This window comes from Homo sapiens, chromosome 5 (genome assembly GCF_000001405.40).
Source record: "Homo sapiens chromosome 5, GRCh38.p14 Primary Assembly".
NCBI lineage: Eukaryota > Metazoa > Chordata > Mammalia > Primates > Hominidae > Homo > Homo sapiens.
Window position 1 is genome coordinate 177,158,893 of NC_000005.10, and position 19,376 is coordinate 177,178,268.

The 19,376-nt window shown below is 43.7% G+C and overlaps 1 protein-coding gene across 12 annotated transcripts in view, besides 1 other annotated feature; it reads left to right on the forward strand.

Annotated features, from left to right (window-relative positions):
- NSD1 (nuclear receptor binding SET domain protein 1) overlaps positions 1-19,376 on the forward strand; it is a 168,416-nt gene that overhangs the window by 27,095 nt on the left and 121,945 nt on the right. The window lies entirely within an intron of this gene.
- Positions 765-894: a silencer, noted in NCBI's record as "silent region_16676". NCBI's record gives its function as "represses an Ori minimal core promoter by ATAC-STARR-seq in GM12878 lymphoblastoid cells {active_cell/tissue: GM12878}" and the evidence as "EXISTENCE:reporter gene assay evidence [ECO:0000049][PMID:35858748]".

Genomic DNA, 19,376 nt, shown 5'->3' on the forward strand with positions numbered 1-19,376 from the left:
ATACCTTTGGAAAGTTTTTTATATATAGTTTGTGTGTGTGTGTGTGTATATATACACACATATATATATACACACACATATATACACACATATATATGAATGATTTTATATATATATATATATATATATATATGAATGATATATATATATATATATGAATGAATGAATGAGATGGAGTCTCACTCTGTCACCCAGGCAGGAGTGCAGTGGTGCCATTTTGGCTTATGGCAGCCTCCGCCTCCGGGGTTCAAGTGATTCTTGTACCTCAGCCTCCCGAGTTGCTGGGATTACAGGCACTCGCCACCATGCCCGGATTTTTTGTCTTAATTCATGAAGGATGAATTAAGTCTGCAGTTGTTCTTTTTCCCTTTTTCTTTCCAGTTTTTTTTTTTGTTTGTTTGTTTGTTTTTGAGACACAGTCTCACTCGGTTGTCCAGGCTGGAGTGCGGTGGCAGTATCTTGGCTCCCTGTAACCCATCTCCCTGGTTCAAGCGATTCCGGTGCCTCAGCTTCCCAAGTAGCTAGGATTACAGGTGTGTGACACCACACCTGGTTAATTTTTGTATTTTTAGTAGAGACGAGGTTTCACCGCATTGGTTAGGTTGGTCTCAAAACTCCTGACCTCAGGTGAACCGCCCACCTAAGCCTTCCAAAGTGCTGAGATTACATGCATGAGCCACCAAGTCTGGCCTAAGTCTGAATTTTTTTTTTTTTTTTTTTGAGACGGAGTTTCGCTCTTGTTGCCCAGGCTGGAGTGCAATGGTGCGATCTTGGCTAACCGCAACCTCCGCCTCCCACGTTCAAGCAATTCTGCCTCAGCCTCCCGAGTAGCTGGGATTGCAGGCATATACCACCACGCCTGGCTAATTTTGTATTTTTGTTAGAGATGGGGTTTCTCCGTGTTGAGACTGGTCTCGAACTCCTGACCTCAGGTGATCCGCCTGCCTCGGCCTCCCAAAGTGCTGGGATTACAGGTGTGAACCACTGCACCCGGCCGAATATATTTTTTTTTTTTTAAATGGAGTCTCGCTCTGTGGCCCAGGCTGGAATGCAGCGGTGTGATCTTAGCTCACTGCAACCTCTGCCTCCCTGGCTCAAGCGATTCTCCTGCTTCAGCCTCCTGAGTACCTGGGACCACAGGTGTGCACCACCATGCCTGAATAATTTTTTTGTGTTTTTGTAGAGATGGAGTTTCACCATGTTGGCCAGGCTGATCTTGAACTACTGACCTCAGGTGATGTGCCTGCCTCCGCCTTCCCAAGTGCTGGGATTACAGGCATGAGCTACTGTACCCGGCTAAGTGTACAGTGTTCTTGTGATGTCTTTGTCTGGTGTTGGTATCAGGGTAATACTGTCTTCAAGATTACCCTTGAATGAGCTTTACTTCATTTTTTAATGTGTTTTTTTTTCTTTTCTTTTGTTTTTTGTTTTTGAGACAGAGTTTCACTCTGTCGCACAGGCTGGAATCCACACTCTAGGCTCGCTGCAGCCTCCACCTCCCAGGTTCAAGAGATTCTCCTGTGTCAGCCTCTTGAGTAGCTGGGGTTACAGGCACGTGCCACGACGCCCGGCTGATTTTTTTGTATTTTTAGTAGTGACGGGCTTTCACCATGTTGGCCAGGCTGGTCTCGAACTCCTGACATCAAGTGACCTGCCTTCCTCAGCCTCCCAAAGTGTTGGGATTACAGGAGTGAGCCACTGTGCCCCGCCTGCAATTACTTCTTAAGTTCTCAATTAAAAGAGAGTTTATCAAGGACTTTTTTTGGTAATTTTGCATTTTGAAAATTGCTAACATTAACTGGGACAGCCCTTTTATTTATTTATTTGTCACTCAGTTGTTTTTTTGAGTTGCCTACTATGTCCCAGGCACTGGTAAGATAGGAGTATCATTGTACCTGAGGCAGGGCAACATGTGCTTGCTTGAGAGGAGCATGATCTAGGATTATAAGGACTGCAACCTCCCCTTCCCAGGTTGAAGCAGTTCTCATGCCTCAGCCTCCCAAGTAGCTGGGACTACAGCCATGAGCCACCACGCCCAGCTAATTTTTGTGTTTTTAGTAGAGATGAGGTTTCCCCATGTTGGCCAGGCTAGTCTCAACTTCTGGACCTCAGGTGATCTGCCCACTTCAGCCTCCCAAAGTGCTGAAATTACAGGAGTAATTTTATTCTCCCAAAGCTGCTGCTTTGGGAGAATAAAAAGTTGAGTATGGGCCAGGCATGGGGGCTGATGCCTGTGATCGCAGCACTTTAGGAGACTGAGGTGGGAGTCTAGCTTGAGCCCAGTAGTTTGAGACAAGCCTGGGGAACATAGGGAGATCCGGCCTCTACAAAAAAAATAAATTAGCTGGGTGGAGTGGCATGTGCCTGTGGTCCCAGCTACTTGGGTGGTTGAGGTGGGAAGATATCTGAGCTCAGGAGTTCCAGGCTGCAGTGAGCTCTGATTATGCACTCCAGCCTGGGTGACAGAGTGAGATGCTGTCTCAAAAAAAAAAATTCAGTGTGGCGTGATTAGGCTGGGAGGGTGGGGCAGGAAGGGATGACATTGGAGGGGTAGGCAAGGTGTAGATAGACCTTTCCCTATATTCTCCTATTTTTAAAAAATTTTTTTCTAAATAGAGATAGGGTCTTACTATTTTGCCCAGGCTGGGTCTCAAACTCCTGGGCTCAAGTAATCCTTCCATCTAGGCCTCTATTTTTTGTGCAAACGATTGAAATTATATTTTTTTTACCTGAATTTTTCCTGTGAACATTGGGTTATTTATAAACCTGTTTTCTGTTTCTTTCTTTCTTTTTTTTTTTTTTTGTTTTTGTTTTTTGAGATAGAGTCCAGCCTGGAGTGCTGTGGCATGATCTTGGCACACTTGCAACCTCTGCCTCCTGGGTTCAGGTGATTCTCCTCCTCTAGCCTCCTCCACGCCTGGCTAATATTTGTATTTTTAGTAGAGATGGGGTTTCACCATGTTGGCCGGGCTGTTCTTGAACTCCTGGTTTCAACAGATCCACCTGCCTCAGCCTGCCAAAGTGCTGAGATTACAGGTGTGAGCCACTGTTCTAGGCACTTGTTTCTGTTTCTTAATTTTGGCTGCTACTCAGTGGGAAAAAGCACAGATTGAATCTAATTGAGGCCGGGCGCTGTGGCTCACTCCTGTAATTTCAGCACTTTGGGAGGCTGAGGTGGGCAGATCACCTGAGATCCAGAGTTCGAGACTAGCCTGGCCAACATGGGGAAACCTCATCTCTACTAAAAACACAAAAATTAGTTGGGCGTGGTGGCTCATGGCTGTAGTCCCAGCTACTCGGGAGGCTGAGGCATGAGAATTGCTTCAACCCGGGAGGTGGAGGTTGCAGTGAGCTGAGATCAGGACACTGCCCTCCAGGTTGGGCAAGAGAGTGAGACTCGGTCTTAAAAAAAAAAAAAAATCTAGTTGAAAAATGTCATCGGGTCTTTCCAAATTTTTACTAGGAATTTGTTAAAATTAACCAGGCTGGAAGTCATTATAGTTTGTTTGTTTGTTTGTTTGAGATGGGGGTCTCACTCTGTCACGCAGGCTGGAGTTCAGTGGTAGGATCTCGGCTCACTGCAACCTCTGCATCCCAGATTCAAGCGATCCTCTCACCTCTGCCTCATGAGTAGTTGGAACCACAGGCATGTGTCACCATGCTTTTGTAGAGACAGGGTTTCTTTCGCCCTATTGGCTAGGCTGGTCTCAAACTTGTGAGCTCAAGCGATCCGCCCACCTTGGCCTCCCAAAGTGCTGGGATTACAGGCATGAGTTACCTTGCCTTGCCCATTATAGCTTTTTTGAGGCTGGGTCTTACTCTCTGTCATGCAGGCTGGACTGCAGTGGTGTGATCTAAGCTCACTGCCTCCTGGGCTCAAGCAGTCCTCCCACCTCAGCCTCCTGAGTAGCTGGCACAGGCGCTACCTCACCCATCTAATTTTTTATTTTTTTTAGAGATGGGGTTTTGCCATGTTTGCCCAGGCTGGTCTAGAATTCATGAGCTCAAGTGATCTACCTGCCTCGGCCTCCCAATGTGCTGGGATTACAGACATGAGCCACTATGTTCAGCCATACCTGGCTAATTTTTAAAAAATGTTTTCAAGAGACAGGGTCTCCCTGTGTTGCCCAGGTTGGTCTCAAGTTCCTGGGATTACTGCTGGCCTTCAAAAGTAAATGTGAAATAATTAGTTAATTTCTCCCTCAGTTGACAAATAATGCCAAAAGTGATAAAGATTAATGAAATGTCTCTTTTTTTTTTTTTTTTTTGAGACGGAGTCTCGTTCTGTTGCCAAGTCTGGAATGCAGTGGCACGATCTCGGCTCACTGCAACGTCCACCTACTGGGTTCAAGTGATTCTCCTGCCTCAGCCTCCCGAGTAGCTGGGACTACAGGCACGCATCACCATGCCCGGCTAATTTTTGTATTTTTAGTAGAGACGGGGTTTCACTATGTTGGCCAGGCTGGTCTTGAACTCCTGACCTCATGATCCACCCACCTTGGCCTCCCAAAGTGCTGGGATTACAGGCATGAGCCACCGCGCCCAGCCATGAAATTTCTTACGTAGAAAGGCAGCTTGGGATTGTAGAAAGAATGTAGGCTTTGGAGTTGGACAGGCCTCCATTTGAGACCATACTTGAGTCCCGTGCTTGCCTTAGACAAAGAACCTCTCAACCTTAGTTTTTAATCTATAAGGTGTTTTGAAAATTAATTCCTAGTTCAGTACATGGCACATGGTAGGTACCTGCTGCTATCCATAATTCTCTTAGTTAATATATTCGGTGCCACATGCCAGGCAGCCAGGATCTGTACTAAGCACCTAATAAGTATTATCTCATTTAATCCTCAAAAGAACCCCACCTGAGTTGCTAGACAGCCATTATTTCAGGGTTACACATTAGGAAATTGAAGCTTAGAGAGATTTAAGTGGTTAGCCAAGTGATGGTGCTGGTATTCCAACTAAGGTCATCTGCTTTCAGAGCATTTACTTTCTGTTAGGCTGCCTCTCCTGTTGCAAAGTACTAAGAACACAACTACATAATGTATTTTTAGTGGATTCTTGTCTTTTTGTAAATAGAAGGTTAAAATGAGAGGAATTTTTTTTTTGTTTGGGAGACGTGGTCTCGCTCTGATGAGAGCTAGAAATTTGATTACTTGTATTTCTGGTCTGCATAAAAATTTGGCCTAAAAACATCAATAGAAAGGCAAGTGTCATCTGCAAATCTGTCCCATCCTGTTCTTCACAGGAAAATGTAACCTTTTTTTTTTTTTTTTCTTTTTTTGAGATGGAGTCTAGCTCTGTTGCCCAAGCTGGAGTGCAATGGCATGGTTTCCCGCTCACTGCAACCTCTGCCTTCTGGGTTCTAGCAGTTCTCCTGCCTCAGCCTCCTGAGTAGCTGGGATTACAGGCGCCTGCCACCATGCCTGGCTAATTTTTGTATTTTTAGTAGAGACAGGGTTTCACCATGTTGGCCAGGCTGGTCTTTAACTCCTGACCTCAGGTGATCCGCCTGCCTCGGCCTCCCAAAGTGCTGGGATCACAGGTGTGAGCCACTGCGCCCGGGCTCAAAATGTAACGTCTGTCTAGTATGAGGATTTATTTCCTTGTCTGACTTCTGAGTTGTAATCGTTTATTAACAATCACATTGTAAGTTTATCTATGAAGTAATAAAATGTTCTTTCTGTATATTATACTGGAAATGAATGCTTCATTCAAAAAATAGTTTTATCTTGGGAAGGTAGCCACTTTTTAAAAATTGAGGTAAAACGGCCAGGCACGGTGGCTCACGCCCATAATTCCAGCACTTTGGGAGGCCAAGGTGGGTGGAGATCACCTGAGGTCAGAAGTTCAAGACCAGCCTGGCCAATATGGTGAAACTCCATCTCTACTAAAATACAAAAATTAGACCGGCATGGTGGCAGGTGCCTGTAATCCCAGCTACTCAGGAAGCTGAGGCAGGAGAATCGCTTGAACCCAGGAGGTGGAGGTTACAGTGAGCCGAGATCCTGCCGCTGCATTGAAGCCTGGGTGAGAAGAGCGAAACTCTGTCTCATTAAAAAAAAAAAAAAAGAGGTAAAATTTAAATAACTTAAGGCTGATTGTATTGGCTTACACTTGTAATTCCAGCATTTTGGGAGACCAAGGCAGGAGGATCACTTGAACTCAGAAGTTTGAGACCAGCCTGGTCAACATAGGGAAACCTCATCTCCACAAAAAATAAAAAATAAAATATAAAAACTTCAAAATTAAATAAGTTACAGTTCACCATTGTAACCATTTTATTTTATCCTATTTATTTTGAGACAGTCTTGTTTTGTCACCCAGGCTGGAGTACAGTGGTGGGATCACAGCTCACTACAGCCTCCACCTTCCAGGTTCAAGTGATTCTTCTGCCTCAGCCTCTGTAACTGGGATTACAGGTGCTTGCCACCACACCCTGCTAATTTTTGTATTTTGATTAGAGACAGGGTTTCACCATGTTGGCCCGATTGGTCTCGAACTCCTGAGCTCAAGTGATCTGCCTGTCTTGGCCTCCCAAAATGAGCCACCGTGCCTGTCCCCTTAGTCTACTTTAAAATTCAATTTGCCTTTTTTTTAAATTGTAAGAATTCCTTATATATTTTGGATATTAAATCCTTAACTAGGGATATGATTCGCAAATTTTTTTCCCCCATTCTGTTTCTGTAGGCTCTTTGACATTCTTTTTCTTTCTCTTTTTGAGACAAGGTCTTACTCTGTTGCCCAGGCTAGAGTACAGTGGTGTGATCATAGCTTACTACAGCCTCGACTTCCCTGGGCTGAAGCAATCCTTACCTCCCACCTCAGCCTCCCAGGTAACCAGGACTACAGGTGTACACCACCATGCCTGGCAAATCACTGTTGTTGTTGTTGTTGTTGTTATAGCCATAGGCTCCCACTGTGTTGCCCAGGCTGGGCTCAAGCAATCTTCTAGCCTTCTAGCCTTGGCCTCCCGAAGTGGTGGGATTATGCGCATGATCGCTGCTCCCAGCCCACAATCTTTTTTTTTTTTTTTTTGAGATGGAGTCTCGCTCTGTCACCCAGGCTGGAGTGCGGTGGCGCAATCTCGGCTCATTGCAACCTCCGCCTCCCGGGTTCAAGCGATTCTCCTGCCTCAGCCTCCCGAGTGGCTGGGATTACAGGCACGTGCTGCCACGCCCAGCTAATTTTTGTATTTTTTTTTTAGAAGAGATGGGGTTTCACCATATTGGCCAGGATGGTCTCGAACTCCTGACCTCATGATATGCCCACCTTGGCCTCCCAAAGTGCCGGGATTACAGGCATGAGCCACCGCGCCTGGCCTCCCAGCCCACATTCTTGATAATTTTCTTTGCTTCTAAAAGTTTTGCTTTTAGGGTTGGGCAAGGTGGCTTATGCCTATAATCCTAGCACTTTGGGAGGCTGAGGTGGGCGGATCTCTTGAGCTCAGGAGTTCAAGAACACCCTGAGCAACATGGAAAAACCGTGTCTCTACAAAAAATGCAAAAATTAGCCAAGTGTGGTGGCATGCACCTGTAGTCTGAGCTACTGGGGAGGCTGTGACAGGAGGATCACTTGAATTGGACTGGAGGCTGCAGTGAGTGAAAATGGTACCACTGCACTCCAGCCTGGGTAATAGAGTGAGATGCTGTCTGAAAAAAAAAAAAAGTTTTAGTTTTTTTGGGTGGGGGGATTTTAACTTCACCTATTTTTTTTGTTGTTGCTCAGTTTTGTTGTTCAATCTATGAATCCTTTGCCAGATCTGAAATTATGAACCCTTATCCCTAAATTTTCTTATAAAAGTTTTGTAGTTTTAGCTCTTATATTTAGGCCCTTGATAACATTTTGAGTTACTTTTTTTTTTTTTTTTTCCCTGAGATGGAGTCTCGTTCTGTCGCCCAGGCTGTAGTGGCGCGATCTCGGCTCACTGACATGGCTGCTTCCTGGGTTCAAGCAATTCTCTTGCCTCAGCCTCCTGAGTAGCTGGGGTTACAGTCACGTGCCACCATGCCCAGCTAATTGTTTTGTGTAATTTTAGTAGAGATGGGGTTTCAGCATTTTGGCCAGGGTGGTCTTGAACACCTGACCTCAAGTGATCTGCCCACCTCGGCCTCCCAAAGTGCTGGGATTACAGGTGTGAGCTACTGGGCAAGGCTGTGCCAGACCTTGAGTTACTTTTTATATATTGAATGAGGCATAAGCCAAAGTTTATTAGGTGATCCAGTTTTCTCAGTACCATGTGTTGAAGAGACTATTATTCTTTTTCCATTGAATTCAAAAGAGACTAATTTTTTAACATTCCTTTGAAATGCTATTCTTTTTCCATTGACTATTGTTTTCTCCGTGTCAAAAATTTATTGAATATGGCCGGGTGTGGTGGCTCACACCTGTAATCCCAGCACTTTGGGAGGCCGAGGTGGGTGGATCACCTGAGGTCAGGAGTTTGAGACCAGTCTGTCCAACATGGTGAAACCCATTTCTACTAAAAATACAAAATTAGCCAGGCTTGGTGGCGCATGCCTGTAATCCCAGCTACTTGGGAGGCTGAGGCAGGAGAATCGCTTGAACCTGGGAGGCAGAGGTTGCGGTGAGCCGAGATCGCGCCATTGCACTCCAGCCTGGGCAACAAGAGCAAAACTCTATCTCAAAAAAAAAAAAATATATTTGTGAGGCTTTATTTCTGAAGTTTTAATTTTATTCCATTGGTCTATATTTCTACTCGTAGGCTACTAGTACACACTGTTTTTGATTACTGTAGCTGAATTCTGCTTCTGCGAGTTCTTCAGTCTTATTTTATTTTCCAGTACAGATGGTCTCAGATATACGATGGTTTTACTTAGAGTTTTTGAACTTCATGGTGGGCTTATCTGGACGTAAGCACATAGTAAGTCGAGCATCTGCAGTTAACAATGGTTCAACTTAACGATATTTTCGACTTATGATGGGTTAATCAGGATGTAACCCCATTGTGAGTTGAGGAGCATCTGTATTGTTTTGGCTGTTTAGGCTTCCTACAGTTGCATATGATTTTTACTTTTTGGCGGAGGTGTCCGGTATTGAATGAACCTAGGGCCTCATGCATAGAGTTCCATATGAATTTGAGGTTAGCTTTTTCATTTCTCTAAATAGGCCATTGGAATTTTCATCGGGATTCCACTGAATCTGTAAATGATTTTAGGGAGTATTGCCATTTTAACAACACAGTATTAAAAATTCCAAGTAATGAACTTGGGATGTCTTCCCATTTCTTTAGGTCTTTAATTTCCTTTCAATAATGTTTTGTAATTTTCACTGTATAAGACTTTTCACAGCCTAGGTTAAATTTATTCATAGGTACAAACAGTTGTTAATTCCCACAGTTTTACTTAATGATTTTTTAACTTTATGATAGGGTTTACTGGAGGATTGAATGCATTTTCAACTTATGATATTTTTGACTTATGATGGGTTTGTTGGGACTTAGCCCTGTTGTAATTTGAGAAGCATCTATCTGTGTGTCTTTCTTTTGGATCCTGTTAAGTGGGATTTTTTGCTCAGTTTCCTTTTTGGATTGTTCATTGCTTTTTTTTTTTTTTTTTCTTTTTTCCGGAGACAGAGTCTCACTTTGTCGCCCAGGCTGGAGTGCAATGGCGTGATCTTGGCTCACTGCAGCCTCTGCCTCCCGGGTTCAAGTGATTTCTCCTGCCCCACCCTCCCAAGTAGCTGGGATTACAGGTGCCCACCACCACGCCCAGCTCATTTTTGTATTTTTAGTAGAGATGGAGCTTCACCATGTTGGTCAGGCTGGTCTCGAACTCCTGATCTCAGGTGATCCACCTGCCTTGGCCTCCCAAAGTGCTGGGATTGCTGGCATGAGCCACCATGCCCGACCAGTGTGTTTATACCTGTAGCGTAAAAATCCATGCTTCAGGATTTGATGAGTCTTGGAAAGCATTTTCTGCATCCTGCTGGTTGTGGAAGCGTTTTTCCTGCAAAAAAGTAGTTGAGATGCTTGAAGAAGTGGTAGTCAGTTGCAGAGAGGTCAGGTCAATATGGAGGATGAGGCAAAACTTCGTAGCCTAATTTGTTCAACTTTTGAAGCATTGTTTGTGCAACGTGTAGTTGGGCATTGTCATGAATAATTGGGCCCTTTTAGTTGACCAATGCCGGCTGCAGGCACTGCAGTTTTCCTTGCATCTCATTGATTTGCTGAGAATACTTCTCAGCTGCAGTGGTATTCAGAAAGCTGTAGTGGATCAACCAGCAGCAGACCACCAAGCAGTGACCATGACCTTTTTTTGGTGCAAGTTTGGTTTGGGAAGTGCTTTGGAGCTGCTGCTTAAGTCTATCCACTGAGCTGGTCATTGCTGGTTGTCAGATAAAATCCACTTTTCATTGCATGCCACAGTCCGATTGAGAAATGGTAAACGACGACTTTTTTTTTAGTTTTTGCTCAGCTGATGAGGCACCCACTTATTGAGCTTTTTCACTTTTCCAATTTGCTTCAAATGCTGAACGACCGTAGAATGGTCGACGTTGAGCTCTTCGACAACTTCTTGGGTAAGTTGTAATAGGATCAGCTTCGATGATTGCTCTCAATTGGTCGTTGTCAACTTCCCATGGCCGGCTACTACTCCTCATCTTCAAGGGTCTCGCCTGCTTCGCAAAACTTCTTGAACCACCACTGCACTGTACGTTTGTTTGAAGTTCCTGGGGCAAACGTGTTGTTGATGTTGTGAATTGTCTCCACTGCTTTATGACCCATTTTGAACCTGAGTAAGAAAATTGCTCAAATTTGCTTTTTGTCTAGCATCATTTCCATAGTGTGAAATAAACATAAAATAAACAAGTAATAAGTCTTTAGCAAAAATAACATAAAGCAAGAAAGTGCCCATTAAAATGATATATAACATAACCACATTTATTTAAGAATGTATTCCAATATCAAATTGCAAATTCCAACAGTGCAAAAACTGCAATTACTTCTGTACCAACCTAATAGTTTGCTTAGTGTTTTTATCATGAAAAGGTATTAGATTTTTAAAATGTTTTTTCTGTCTGTTGAGGTTATCATGTGTTATTTTGCTTTGTTGTATTATTGTGGTGTATAATTTTTTTTGAGACGGGGTCTTGCTCTGTCGCCCAGGCTGGAGTGCAGTGGCGCGATCTCTGCTCACTGCAAGCTCCACATCTCGGGTTCACGCCATTCTCCTGCCTCAGCCTCCCGAGTAGCTGGGACTACAGGCGCCCGCCACCACGCCCGGCTAATTTTTTTTTGTATTTTTAGTAGAGATGGGGTTTCACCGTGTTAGCCAGGATGGTCTTGATCTCCTGACCTCGTGATCTGCCCGCCTCCGCCTCCCAAAGTGCTGGGATTACAGGTGTGAGCCACCGCGCCCAGCTGTGGTGTATAATTTATTTTTTTTTCTTTTTTTGGTGGGAGTCAGTACCCTTTTTGTTTTTGTAAAGTATGCATGATTTTATTTAATTTTTTTTTTTAGAGACGGAGTCTCGCTCTGTCGCCCAGGCTGGAGTGCAGTGGCGTGATCTCGGCTCACTGCAACCTCCGCCTCCCGGGTTCAAGCAATTCTCCTGCCTCAGCCTCCTGAGTAGCTGGGACTACAGGCGCATGCCACCATGCCCGGCTAATTTTTTTTGTATTTTAGTAGAGACGGGGTTTCACCATGTTGCCCAGGCTGGTCTCCAACTCCTGAGCTCAGGCAATCCGCCTGCCTCAGCTTCCTGAAGTGCTAGGATTACAGGCGTGAGCCACTGCGCCTGGCCAACTTCATTTTTTATTTTTTTGGAAAGTGTACGTGACTTCCTATTCATCCATTTGGAAGTGTACAATTCAGTGCATTACATGTATTCACAGTGTTATATAATCATTTTCTATACCAAAGTTTTTCAATATCCCCAACATAAACTATCCATTAAATAGTAATTCCTAATAGTTCCCTATTCCTACTCCTTGGTAACCTAAATTCTTTCTCTCCCTTTGAATTTGCCTGTTTTATTTTAGATAATATAAGTAGTATCATATAATATTTATCTGTTTATATCTGGCTTATTAACATAAAGTGGAGCCAATTTTAGCACATTTTTGTCACTTCAAAATGAAACCTTCTTGCTTGATAATTTACCATGTTAAAAAAAAAAAAAAAGGAAACCGGGCGGGGCGTGGTGGCTCAGGCCTGTAATCCCAGGACTTTGGGAGGCCGAGGTGGACAGATCACAAGGTCAAGAGATTGAGACCGTCCTGGCCAACGTGGTGAAACCGTCTCTAATAAAAATACAAAAATTAGTAGTGCGCCTGTAGTCCCAGCTACTCAGGAGGCTGAGGAAGGAGAATCGCTTGAACCAGGGGGGCAGAGATTGCAGTGAGCCAAGATCACGCCGCTGCACTCCAGCCTGGCGACAGAGCGAGACTCCGTCTCCAAAAAAAAAAAAGGAAACCTTGTACGCTTTAGTTACCATCCTCCTACACCTTAACTTCCCTGCCCCTAAGTAACCATTATACTATTGCCTGTCTCTACATCCCTCTATTTGAGACTCATATGAATGAAATTATATAATATGTAGACTTTTGTTACTGTTTTTTTCTATTAGCATGATGTTTTGCAGGTTTATCCTTATTTAGCATGTATCAGCGGCCACATAATACTTCATTGTATGGATATTTCACATTTTGTTATCCATTCATCAGTTGATGGTCATCATCCCAAACAAGAACTCTGTACTTATTGAATGATTCTCCTTTCCTCCCTTTGTCTATTTTGGCCATTTTGTAGTAACTCTATTTGCCTATCCTAGGTATTTTATTTAAGTGGAGTCATACAGTATTTGTCTATTTGTGTCTGGTGTATTTCACTTAGCATAATGCTGTCAAGGTTTTTGCATGTTGTAGTGTGTATCAGGACTTCTTTTTCATGGTTGAATGATCTTCCATCTTGTAAATAATAACACATTGTATTATCCATTTGTGATGGACATTTGAGTTGATTTCACCTTTTCGACAATGTAAATAATGTCGCTATGAACATGGGTGTGCAAATATCTGTTTGAGTCTCTGCCTTCAGTTCTTTTTGGTATATGCTTAGCAGCAGAATAGCTGGGTCACATGGTAATTCCATACTTAACTCTTAGAGGAAGTCCGCCCCTTCCTTTCTTAAGTCTTTGCTGTATACCTTTGAAGGGTTTCCCTAGTTTATATAATTGCTTGTGATAGTTTTTCCCCTATTTATTGACTGTTTTGGGGGAGATACTGGCCCTTGAAGTTCATGACGACTCCATTTCCTCTGATGTCACTATAAACACTTTTGACTGTGGCAGCCTTTGCTAAAAATATTTTTGGATCCTGGATGTGGTAGTTCATGCCTATTATAATCCTAGCACTTTGGGAGGCCAAGGTGGGAGAATTTCTTGAGTTGGGAGTTAGAGACACTTTTGGAGTTTGTTTTTTTATAATTGTCTTTTTTTTTTCCATCTCAGTCTTAAAGTTATTTCTTCAAAGACATAATTGTGCTTAGGCTTTGATGCTTTCATCAGGTAAAATGAAATAAAGACTGAATCTGATGAATAAATAAAACTAGTAGATAACAGCTTCTAAGTGTGACTTTGAAGTAACATGAATGGTTTTTATCATATGATACATAGAAATGACTTCTTAGTGGTAATATATGGCAGGATTTGGCAAACTAGCCTGCAGTCCAAATATGGCTAAAAGCTGTTTTTGTACAACCAGTGAGCCAACAATAGTTTTTACATTTGTGAATCGCTGAGGCAAAATCCAAAGGAAAATATTTTGAGGCCGGGTATGGTGGTTCACGTATATAATCCCAGCATTTTGAGAGGTTGAGGTGGGAGGATGGCTTGGGCCCAGGACTTGGAGACCAGCCTAGGCAACATAGTGAGATCCTGTCTCTAAAAATTTTTTTTAAAAACTAGCTGGGCATGGTGGTACATACCTTGTAGTCCCTGCTAGTTGGGAGGCTGAGGTGGGAGGATCACTTGAGTCTGGTATGTTGAGGCTGTAGTGAGCTGAGATCCTGCCACTGTACTCTAGCCTGGGTAACAGAGCGAGACCCTGTCTCAAAAAAAAAAAAAAAAAAAAAGAATATTTTGTATCATGTTAGAATTAAATTAAGCCGGGCGCGGTGGCTCACGTGTAATCCCATCACTTTGGGAGGCCTAGGTGGGCAGATCACGAGGTCAGGAGATCGAAACCATCCTGGCTAACACAGTAAAACCTGTCTCTACTAAAAATACAAAAAATTAGCCGGGCGTGGTGGCAGGTGCCTGTAGTCCCAGCTACTCGGGAGGCTGAGGCAGGAGAATGGCGTGAACCCGGGAGGCGGAGCTTACAGTGAGCCGAGATAGCGCCACTGCACTCCAGCCTTGGCGAAAGAGCTAGACTCTGTCTCAAAAAAAAAAAAAAAAAAAAGAATTATATGAAATTAAAACTTCAGTAACTACAAGAAGTCTATTGGAATGTTGCCACTAATATGTTGTCTGGCTGCTTTTGTGCTGTGATGGGAGGATTGAGTAATTTCGAGTGTATGTCTTACATTGCAGAATCTAAAATATTTACTATCTGGCTTTTTTTTTTTTTTTTTTTTTTTTGCGACGGAGTTTCACTCTTGTTGCCGAGGCTGGAGTGCAATGGCACGATCTCGGCTCACCGCAACCTCTGCCTTCTGGGTTCAAGCAATTCTCCTGCCTCAGCCTCCTGAGTAGCTGGGGTTACAGGCACGTGCCACCACACCCAGCTAATTTTGTATTTTTAGTAGAGACGGGATTTCCCCATGTTGGTCAGGCTGGTCTCGAACTTTTGACCTAACATATCTGCCCGCCTGGGCCTCCCAAAGTGCCGGGATTACAGGCATGAGCCACTGCACCTGGCCTACTATCTGGCTCTTATACAGAAAAAAGTTTATCGACGTGTGTGATTGTCACAGGTTATTATTGATTGGTCTTCTGAGAACAATAGTCATTCATATGTGTTCTAATGCGACTGCCAAAATATTATTTCATAAGCACATTTAATATGTTAACTTTTAATGGATGAAGCAGTAATTTGGTAGTTAAATGAACATTAATTCAACTTGCTTTGGTTAGTGGGAAGGATATTTTAGTGTTATTTTCATATTCACATTATCCTGCTGGTCAGCATTCCTTTTTATTCTCCTCCTTGGTCGTCAGAAAAGAGGTTAAAAAGGCCGGGCGCGGTGGCTCACGCCTGTAATCCCAGCACTTTGGGAGTCCGAGGCGGGTGGATCACGAGGTCAAGAGATCGAGACCATCCTGGCCAACATGGTGAAACCCCGTCTTTATTAAAAATACAAAAATTAGCAGGGCGTGGTGGTGCCCCAGCTACTTGGGATGCTGAGGCAAGAGAATCACTTAAACGCGGGAGGCGGAGGTTGCAGTGAGCCGAGATCGCGCCACTGCACTCTGGCCTGGGCAACAAGAGCGAGACAGATTACAGGCGCACGCCACCTTGCCAAGCTAATTTTTGTGGTTTTAGTAGAGACAGGGCTTCGCCATGTTGGCCAGGCTGGTCTCGAACTCCCAACCTCAGATGATCGCCTCCCACCTTGGCCTCCCCAAGTGCTGGGATTACAAGCGTGAGCCACTGCACCCGGCCAGAAGTTATTATATAATCAATGCACCATTGCCCAAAATACTTATCTGAATTTTTTTTTTTTGACACGGAGTCTTGCTCTTGTCACCCAGGCTGGAGTGCAATGGCGTGATCTTGGCTCACTGCAACCCCTGCCTCCTGGGTTCAAGCAATTCTTCTGCCTCAGCCTCCTGAGTAGCTGGGATTACAGGTGCCCACTACAACGCCCGGCTAATTTTTCTTTGTATTTTTGGTAGAGATGGAGTTTCACCATGTTGGCCAGGCTGGTATGAAACTCCTGAGCTCAGGTGATCTGCCCACCTCGGCCTCCCAAAGTGCTGGGATTACAGGTATGAGCCACCGTGCCTGGCCTTATCTGACTTTTTTTTTTTTTTTTTTTTGGGACAGTCTCGCTCTGTCACCCAGGCTGGAGTGCAGTGGCGCTATCTTGGCCCACTGCAAGCTCTGCCTCCTGGGTTCACGCCATTCTCCTGCCTCAGCCTCCCGAGTAGCTAGGACTACAGGCACCCGCCACCACGCCCGGCTAATTTTTTGTATTTTTAGTAGAGACGGGGTTTCACCGTGTTAGTCAAGATGGTCTCGATCTCCTGACCTCGTGATCCACTCGCCTCAGCCTCCCAAAGTGCTGGGATTATAGGCGTGAGCCACTACACCCGGCCTGACTTTTAAGCCATTGTATTTATTATATCATTGATTTAGTTTTGGGCAAATGTGGTCACAGAAGATTTGGACAAATGTTGTCACAAAAGGTTATGCTTAATTTTCCGTAATTTATTTCGGCAGTGAGTAGGAAGAAAATTTGAATGCGTATATGTTACAGACAGTCTTTTTGAGGCTGGGGACGTGGCTCACACCTGTAATCTCAGCACTCTGTGAGGCCAGTGCAGGAGGATCGCTTGAACCCTTGAGTTTGAAACCAGCCTCGGCAACATGGCAAAACCTCATCTCTAAAAAAAAAAATTTTAAATTTAGCCAGGCTGGTGGCATGTGTCATTAGTCCCAGCGACTTGGTGGGGCTGAGGTGGGAGGATCACTTGAGCTCAATAGGTATAATTTTCAGTGAGCTGTGATTAGGCCACAGCACATTAGCCTGAGTGACAGAGTGAGAATCTGCCTTAAAAAAAATAAAGTATTTGAAAGCCTTCTTCAGAGGTTATTCTTGGAAAAGCAAATAATATTATAGCCTTGAGTATAATAGTGTCATATCATTTAAGCCATATGGAAAATAATACTTTGTATGAAAATAGTAACATCTAGAGTAGTTTTATTAATAAAATACTCTCCAGATGGCAAGTGATAGATACATCCTGTTTCGATTTTACAACAAAGCATGTTTGTGATATAAACATTATTCGATTGCAAAAATTCTTTTTTTTTTTTTTGAAATGGAGTCTTGCCCTGTCACCCATGTTGGAGTGCAGTGGCGCCATCTCGGCTCACTGCAACCTCTGCCTCCTGGGTTCAAGTGATTCTCCTGCCTCAGTTTCCTGAGTAGCTGGGATTATAGGCACATGCCAACATGCCCAGCTAATTTTTGTAGTTTTAGTAGAGACAGGGTTTTACCATGTTGACCAGGCTGGTCTCGAACTCCTGACCTGAAGTGATCTACCTGCCTCGGCCTCCCAAAGTGCTGGGATTGCAGGCCTTAGCCACTGCGCCCGGCCCGATTGCAAAAATCGTAACATTTCAGTGACTTCAGTGTTTTGAAATTGAGGGATTAAAATCTAAGATCTAAATATTCGATTCTTCTTCCTTTTTTTTTTTTGAGATGGAGTTTCACGCTTTTTGCCTAGGCTGGAGTGCAATGGCACGATCTCGGCTCACTGCAACATCCACCTCCCAGGTTCAAGCAATTTTTGAATCCCATAGTGCTGTGTTGGGATTACAGGTGTGATCCACCATGCCTGGCTATTCTTTTTTTTTTTTTTCTTCTTTTTAAAGAGACAGTATCTTGCTCTGTGGCCCAGGCTAGAGTGCCGTGGCAGTCATGGCTTACTGCAGTCCTGAACTCCTGTGCTTAAGCAATCCTCTCACTTCAGCCTTCTGAGTAGCTAGTACCACAGGCACACACCACCACACCCGACCCCATTATTGTTCTATTGATGTTTATAACTGTATAATTAGTATATAATCTGCATTTACCAGAAATCTGTAAAATCTGGTTATGTCATTACTTTTCCTGATTATTGGTACAGTTAAAACCTAGAAAGGCTCATTCATATAAGGGATACATTGTGTTGGAAGAGCTTATAACAACTTTGTTTTATATTTTGCCAAAAAGCCTTTGGATTCTTTAGCTCGAGGGTGTAGTCCAGATTCCAGGTCCAACTTCTAGAGTTCTGGAGGAGTGGCAGATATCCATTTCTTGGGGATCAGTCAGAAGTGAGCTCATTAATTAATTGGAAACTTTTTGTTTTGGATGTTTCAGTGGTAAATGAAAACAATACCCCCTACTAGAATTATTGTGAGGATTCTGTTACATTATGTGTGAAAGAACTGATTACAGGTGTCACAAATTACTTTCTTACTCATTAATTTATTAATTATGTGCTATGCACTGTTTTGTTTTGTTTTTGAGACAGGGTCTCTGTTGTCCAGGCTGGAGTATAGCTGTGCAGTGTTTTTAAGTGCTGGGAATACTGTGATGAGCAGAATAGACATTGTGTCTGCCCTCATGGATCCTTCAGTAAAGTGAGAAAGGCAAACATCAAACAAGGATTGGGCCTGGCACAGTGGCTAATGCCTGTAATCCCAGCACTTTGGGAGGCTGAGGTGGGTGGGTCACTTGAGGTCAGGAGTTCAAGACCAGCCTTGCCAACCTGGTGAAACCCCCTCTCTACTAAAAATACAAAAATTAGCCAGGTGTGGTGGTGCATGTCTCCCAGCTGCTCGGGAGGCTGAGGCAGGAGAATCGCTTGAACCCAGGAGGCAGAGGTTGCAGTGAGCCGAGATTGTGCCACTCCACTCCAGTCTGGGTGACAGAGCAAGACTCTTTCTCCCAAAAACAACAAAAAACAAAACAAAACAAAAAAACAGCAACAACAACAAGGATTGCTTGAGCCTGGGAGGTTGAGGCTGGAGTGAGCGATGACCATGCCACTGCACTCCAGCCTGGGTGACAGATTCATTCATACCCTGTCTTTCAAAGAAAAAAATATCAGTATTAGATTGTATGTTCACAATTATATGTGTGAGAACCTATATGTATGGGAACTCTTTGTGCCAACCAGTGCCCAGAGTTTTCTCTCTGCTCTGATTACTCTCTCAACTCTCTCAAATTGCCTTTTAAAGAAATCTTTATTTCTGTTAAGATTTTAGAGCTATTTGTTTTTGGTTTTTGCTTAATTTTTTGCATATTCTGTTAATGCAAAAAATTGCATTAAATTATTATTATTATTTTTGAGATAGAATCTTGCTCTGTCGCCCAGGCTGGTGTGCAGTGGAGCAGTTTTGGCTCACTGCAACCTCCACCTTCCGGGTTCAAGTGATTCTCATACTACAACCTCCTGAGTAGCTGGAACTACAGGCATGCGCTGCCACGCCTGGCTAATTTTTTTGTATTTTTAGTAGAGACAGTTTCATCATGTTGGCCAGGCTGGCCTCAAACTCTTGGGCCTCAAGTGATCTGCCCACCTTGGCCTGCTAAAGTGCTTGAATTATAGATGTGAGCCCCACTCCTGGCTGCATTAAAATATTTTAATAGACATTTGATTGATTGATTGATTGATTTATGAGATGGAGTTTTGCTGTTGTTGCC